This window comes from Homo sapiens, chromosome 4 (assembly GCF_000001405.40).
Source record: "Homo sapiens chromosome 4, GRCh38.p14 Primary Assembly".
In the NCBI taxonomy this organism is placed as follows: domain Eukaryota; kingdom Metazoa; phylum Chordata; class Mammalia; order Primates; family Hominidae; genus Homo; species Homo sapiens.
The window spans coordinates 165,816,667-165,824,732 of NC_000004.12; positions in this window are offsets into that span (position 1 = coordinate 165,816,667).

Below are 8,066 nucleotides of genomic sequence, written 5' to 3' on the forward strand. Positions count from 1 at the left end.
GGTGCAGTGTATAGTGCTCAGGTGATGGGTGCACCAAAATTTCACAAATCATCACTAAAGAACTCACTCATGTAACCAAATATCACTTGTACTCCAGTAACATATGGAAAAACAAAATACAAAAGGGCATGAACAGACATTTCTCAAAAGCAGACATTTATGTGGCCAATAAATGTGTGGAAAAAAAGCTCAATATCACTGATCATTAGAGAAATGCAAATCAAAACCACAATGAGATACTGTTGCATGCCTCTCAGAATGGCGATTATTAAAAAGTTGCAACAACAGACGCTGGAGAGGTTGCAAAGAAAAAGAAACACTTTTACACTCTTGGTGGGAGTGTAAATAAGTTCAACCATTGTGGAAGACTGTGGGAATTCCTCAAAGATCTGCAGGAAGAAATACCATTTGACCTAGCAATCCCATTACTGGGTATATACCCAGAGGAATATAAGTTATTCTATTATAAAGATACATGCATGTGTATGCTCTTTGCAGCATTATTCACAATAGCAAAGACATGGAATCAACCTAAATGTGCATTAATGATAGACTGAGTAAAAAAAGTGTGGTACATATACAACATGGAATACTATGCAGCCATAAAAAGGAATGAGATCATGGCTTATTCTTTTTCTTTATTGTAAAGGCCTATTTGTTTTTATTTCAAGTTTGTTCCAGACTAAAAAAAAAAGTACGGGGAAGTATGTGAAAAATTGCTGCTTTTTCGATGTTTTAAAATTATTTTGTCTAATTTTAGGATAATTAAGTACTTGAGTGTTTGTTAGTATATTCCTAGAAAACCATGTGGGTCTATGGTTTTTTTAAAAATGGAATTATGTTAATAGTTATAGGCCAACATGGGTTTTCTATTCTTGAGTTAATCAAGTTACACTTAATTTTTTTTCCAATTTAATATTTCAAATTTATTGGTATAAAAGTATTGATGACATATGTTTTATCTTCTCTGAATCTGTTAGCATCTACAATTAGATATGTTTATTTCTTTTTTGTCATAGATCCAACTTTGGGGTTTTAAAATTTTCTCTATTATATGTTACTGTTCTATATTACTGCTTTATTATTTTCTCATTTTTACCTCCCTAGTTTTATTCTACTGTCCTTTTTCTAACTCACAGAGTAATTATTTTAATAATTTTTCCACTTTTCTTCTTTTCTAAGGATAATGTTTAAAGCTATAAATTTTCCTTTAAGAATTGCATCAGCAATTATCTCTCAACTTTTGGTATGTGTACTTTGAAACTTTTGTTGGGTTTTGAAGTATTCTGTATATATTCTACTTTCAATGCGTTCTTATTTGTCTATGAGTTGTTTAGGATTTTTTTCCCTTCTTCTTTTTTTAGTGATTATTTTATTCAACTTAAGTAACATCTTTAATCAATTATGGAAATTTAACCATTTAATTTGATCATGGACTCTACTTTATTCTTTCTCTGTGTTAAAACTGATTTTGTATATGTTATTGATTTTTAACCTAATTGGATTGTGGTAGATCATATAATATGAAACATTCTAATCCTTTGGTATTTGTTAGGATCTGTTGATGGCTTAGTTCATGGTCGCTATTTCTGGACCTAAAATGAATATGTTTTTCTAAGTACAAGGTTTACATACACACACAGACACATGTATACACACACACACATATATACACACACACACACCCTTTAGATAAACCATGTTTATTACACTATTGCAGTCTGAGATATCTTCACAGATTATTTTTTCTTGCTTGGTCTACCATTTTTTGAGAGATCCTTCAGGTATCACCACACTGTCTTCCACAATGGTTGAACTTATTTACACTCCCACCAACAATGTGAAAGTGTGCCTTTTTCTTCACAACCTTTCCAGCATCTGTTGTTTCAATTTTTTAATAATCGTCATTCTGATAGGCATAAGATGGTATTTCACTGTGGTTTTGACTACAAATATGGTGCAGTGTGTACTGCTCAGGTGATGGGTGCACCACAATCTCACAAATCACCACTAAAGAACTTACTCATGTAACCAAATACCACCTGTACCCCATACCTTACAGATAAACAAAATAAAAAATAAAATAGGGCCGGGCATGGTGGCTTATGCCTGTAATCCCAGCACTTTGGGGAAGCCAAAGCAGGTGGATCATCTGAGGTCAGGAGTTCAAGACCAGCCTGATAAACAAGGTGAAATCCAGTCTCTACTAAAAATACAAAAATTAGCCAGGGGTGTGTTCCAAGATGGCCGAATAGGAACAGCTCCAGTCTACAGCTCCCAGGGTGAGTGACACAGAAGATGGGTGATTTGTGCATTTCCAACTGAGGTACCAGGTTCATCTCACTGGGGCTTGTCGGACAGTGGGTGCAAGACTGGGTGCAGCCCACCGAGCATAAGCCGAAGCAGAGCGAGGCATCGCCTCACCTCGGAAGCACAAGGGGTCAGGGAATTCCCTTTTCTAGCCAAGGGAAGTGGTGACAGACAGCACTTGGAAAATCAGGTCACTCCCACCCTAATACTGTGCTTTTCCAATGGTCTTAGCAAATGGCACTCCAGGAGATTATATCCTGCGCATGACTCGGAGGGTCCCACACCCACAGAGCCTCGCTCATTGCTAGCACAGCAGTCTGAGATCTAACTGCAAGGCGGCAGCGAGGCTGGGGGAGGGGTTCCCGCCATTGCTGAGGCTTGAGTAGGTAAACAAAGCAGCAGGGAAACTTGAACTGGGTGGAGCCCACCTCAGCTCAAGGAGGCCTGCCTGCTTCTGTACACTCCACCTCTGAGAGCAGGGCATAGCTGACCAAAAGGCAGGAGAAACCTCTGCAGACTTAAATGTCCCTGTCTGACAGCTTTGAAGAGAGTAGTGGTTGTCCTAGTACGGAGTCTGAGATTTGAGAACAGAGAGACTGCCTCCTCAAGTGGGTCCCTGACCTCCGAGTAGCCTAACTGGGAGGCACCCCCCAGTAGGGGCAGACTGACACATCACATGGCTGGGTACCCCTCTGAGATGAAGCTTCTAGAGGAATGATCAGACAGCAACATTTGCTGTTCAGCAATATTTGCTGTTCTGCAGGCTCTGCTGCTGATACCCAGGCAAACAGGGTCTGGAGTAGACCTCCAGCAAACTCCAACAGACCTGCAGCTGAGGGTCCTGACTGATAGAAGGAAAACTAACAAACAGAAAGGACATCCACTTCATAACCCTATCTGTACGTCACCATCATCAAAGACCAAAGGTAGATAAAACCACAAAGATGGGGAAAAAACAGAGCCAAAAAGCTGAAAATTCTAAAAATCAGAGTGCCTCTCCCCCTTCAAATGAATGCAGCTTCTCACCAGCAACGGAATAAAGCTGGACAGAGAATGACTTTGATGAGTTGAGAGAAGAAGGCTTCAGATGATCAAACTTCTCCGAGCTAAAAGAGGAAGTTCGAACCCATTGCAAAGAAGTTAAAAATCTTGAAAAAAGATCAGACAAATGGCTAAATAACCAGTGTAGAGAAGTCCTTAAATGACCTGATGGAGCTGAAAACCATGGCATGAGAACTACGTGACAAATGCACAAGCTTCAGTAGCAGATTTGATCACCTGCAAGAAAGGGTATCAGTGATTGAAGATCAAATGAATGAAATGAAGCAAAAAGAGAATTTTAGAGAAAAAAGAGTAAAAAGAAATGAACAAAGCCTCCAAGAAATATGGGACTATGTGAAAAGACCAAATCTGCATCTGATTGGCATACCTGAAAGTGACGGGGAGAATGGAATCAAGTTGGAAAACACTCTGCAGGATATTATCCAGGAGAACTTCCCCAATCTAGCAAGACAGGCCAACATTCAAATTCAGGAAATACAGAGAACACCACAAAGATACTCCTCGAGAAGAGCAACTCCAAGACACATAATTGTCAGATTCACCAAAGTTGAAATGAAGGAAAAAATGTTAAGGGCAGCCAGAGAGAAAGGTCGGGTTACCCACAAAGGGAAGCCCATCAGACTAACAGCGGATCTCTCGGCAGAAACTCTACAAGCCAGAAGAGAGTGAGGGCCAATATTCAACATTCTTAAAGAAAAGAATTTTCAACCCAGAATTTCATATCCGGCCAAACTAAGCTTCATAAGTGAAGGAGAAATAAAATACTTTACAGACAAGCAAATGCTGAGAGATTTTTGTCACCACCAGGCCTGCCCTAAAAGAGCTCCTGAAGGAAGCACTAAACATTGAAAGGAACAACCGGTACCAGCCACTGCAAAAACATGACAAATTGTAAAGACCATTGAGTTTAGGAAGAAACTGCATCAACTAATGAGCAAAATAACCAGCTAACATCATAATGACAGGATAAAATTCACACATAACAATATTAACCTTAAATGTAAATGGGCTAAATGCTCCAATTAAAAGACACAGACTGGCAAATTGGATAAAGAGTCAAGACCCATCAGTGTGCTGTATTCAGGAAACCCATCTCACATGCAGAGACACACATAGGCTCAAAATGAAGGGATGGAGGAAGATCTACCAAGCAAATGGAAAACAAAAAAAGGCAGGGGTTGCAATCCTGGTCTCTGGTAAAACAGACTTTAAACAAACAAACATCAAAAGAGACAAAGAAGGCCATTACATAATGGTAAAGGGATCAATTCAACAAGAAGAGCTAACTATCCTAAATATATATGCACCCAATACAGGAGCACCCAGATTCATAAAGCAAGTCCTTAGAGACCTACAAAGAGACTTAGACTCCCACACAATAAAAATGGGAGACTTTAACACCCCACTGTCAACATTAGACGATCAAAGAGACAGAAAGTTAACAAGGATATCCAGGAATTGAACTCAGCTCTGCACCAAGCAGACCTAATAGACATCTACAGAACTCTCCACCCCAAATCAACAGAACGTACATTCTTCTCAGCACCACATCGCACTTACTCCAAAATTGACCGCATAGTTGGAAGTAAAGCACTCCTCAGCAAATGTAAAAGAACAGAAATTATAACAAACTGTCTCTCAGACCACAGTGCAATCAAACTAGAACTCAGGATTAAGAAACTCACTCAAAACTGCTCAACTACATGGAAACTGAACAACCTGCTCCTGAATGACTACTGGGTACATAACAAAATGAAGGCAAAAATAAAGATGTTGTTTGAAACCAACGAGAACAAAGACACAACATACCAGAATCTCTGGGACACATTTAAAGCAGTGTGTAGAGGGAAATTTATAGCACTAAATGCCCACAAGAGTAAAGCAGGAAAGATCTAAAATTGACACCCTAACATCACAATTAAAAGAACTAGAGAAGGAAGAGCAAACACATTCAAAACTAGCAGAAGGCAAGAAATAACTAAGATCAGAGCAGACCTGAAGGAGATAGGGACACAAAAAAACCCTTCAAAAAATCAATGAATCCAGGAACTGGTTTTTTGAAAAGATCCACAAAATTGATAGACCGCTAGCAAGACTAATAAAGCAGAAAAGAGAGAAGAATCAAATAGACGCAATAAAAAATGATAAAGAGGAGGATATCACCACTGATCCCACAGAAATACAAACTACCGTCAGAGAATACTATAAACACCTCTATGCAAATAAACTATAAAATCTAGAAGAAATGGATAAATTCCTGGACACATACACCCTTCCAAGACTAAACCAGGAAGAAGTTGAGTCCCTGAATAGACCAATAACAGGCTCCGAAATTGAGGCAATAATTAATAGCTTACCAACCAAAAAAAGTCCAGGACCAGATGGATTCACAGCCAAATTCTACCAGAGGTACAAGGAGGAGCTGGTACCATTCCTTCGGAAACTATTTCAACCAATAGAAAAAGAGGGAATCCTCCCTAACTCATTTTATGAGGCCAGCATCATCCTGATACCAAAGCCTGGCAGAGACACAACAAAAAAAGAGAATTTTAGACCAATATCATTGATGAACATTGATGCAAAAATCCTCAATAAAATACTGGCAAACTGAATCCAGCAGCACATCAAAAAGCTTATCCACCATGATCAAGTGGGCTTCATCCCTGGGATGCAAGGCTGGTTCAATATATGCAAATCAATAAGTGTAATCAAGCATATAAACAGAATCAAGGAAAAAAACCACATGATTATCTCAATAGATGCAGAAAAGGCCTTCAACAAAATTCAAAAGCCCTTCATGCTAAAAACTCTCAATAAACTAGGTACTGATGGGACGCATCTCAAAATAATAAGAGCTATTTATGACAAACTCACAGCCAATATCATAACGGGCAAAAAGTGAAGCATTGCCTTTGAAAACTGGCACAAGACAGGGATGCCCTGTCTCACCACTCCTATTCAACATAGTGTTGGAAGTTCTGATCAGGGCAATCAGGCAGGAGAAAGAAAGAAGGGATACTCAATTAGGAAAACAGGAAGTCAAATTGTCCCTGTTTGCAGATGACATGATTGTATCTTTAGACAATCCCATCGTCTCAGCCCTGAATCCCCTTAAGCTGATAAGCAACTTCAGCAATGTCTCAGGATACAAAGTCAATGTGCAAAAATCATAAGCATTCTTATACACCAATAACAGACAAACAGAAAGCCAAATCATGAGTGAACTCCCATTCACAATTGCTTCAAAGAGAATAAAATACCTAGGAATCCAACTTACAAGGGATGTGAAGGACGTTTTCAAGGAGAACTACAAACCACTGCTCAATGAAATAAAAGAGGACACAAATAAATGGAAGAACATTCCATGTTCATGGATAGGAAGAATCAATACTGTGAAAATGGCCATTCTGCCCAAGGTAATTTATAGATTCAATGCCATCTCCATCAAGCTACCAATGACTTTCTTCACAGAATTGGAAAAAACTACTTTAAAGTTCATGTGGAACCAAAAAAGAGCCCGCCTTGCCAAGACAATCCTAAGCCAAAAGAACAAAGATGGAGGCATCATGCTACCTGACTTCAAACTGTACTACAAGGCTACAGTAACCAAAACAGCATGGTGCTGGTACCAAAACAGAGATGTAGACCAATGAAACAGAACAGAGCCCTCAGAAATAATACCACACGTCTACAACCATCTTATCTTTGACAAAGCTGACAAAAACAAGAAATGGGGAATGGATTCCCTATTTAATAAATGATGCTGGGAAAACTGGCTAGCCATATATAGAAAGCTGAAACTGGATCCCTTCCTTACATCTTATACAAAAGTTAATTCGAGATGCATTAAAGACTTAAATGTTAGACCTAAAACCATAAAAACCCTAGAAGAAACCTAGGCAATACCATTCAGGACATAGGCATGTGTAAGGACTTCATGTCTAAAACACCAAAAGCAATGGCAACAAAAGCCAAAGTTGACAAATGGGATCTAATTAAGTTAAAGAGCTTCTGCACAGCAAAATAAACTACCATCAGAGTGAACACGCAACCTACAGAATGGGAGAAAATTTTTGCAATCTACCCATCTGACAAAGGGCTAATATCCAGAATCTACAAAGAACTTAAACAAATTTACAAGAAAAAATCAAACAACCCCATCAAAAAGTGGGCAAAGTATATGAACAGACACTTCTCAAAAGAAGACATTTATGCAGCCAATAGACACATGAAAAAATGCTCATCATCACTGGCCATCAGAGAAATGCAAATCAAAACCACAGTGAGATACCATCTCATACCAGTTAGAATGGCGATCATTACTGTCAGGAAACAACAGGTGCTGGAGAGGATGTGGAGAAATAGGAACGCCCTTACACTGTTGGTGGGACTGTAAACTAGTTCAACCATTGTGGAAGACAGTGTGGTGATTCCTCAAGGATCTAGAACTAGAAATACCATTTGACCCAGCCATCCATTACTGGGTATATACCCAAAGGATTATAAATCATTCTGCTATAAAGACACTTGCACACGTATGTTTATTGCAGGACTATTCACAATAGCAAAGACTTGGAACCAACCCAAATGTCCAGCAATGATATACTGGATTAAGAAAATGTGGCACATATACACCATGGAATACTATGCAGCCATAAAAAACGGTGAGTTCATGTCTTTTGTAGGGACATGGA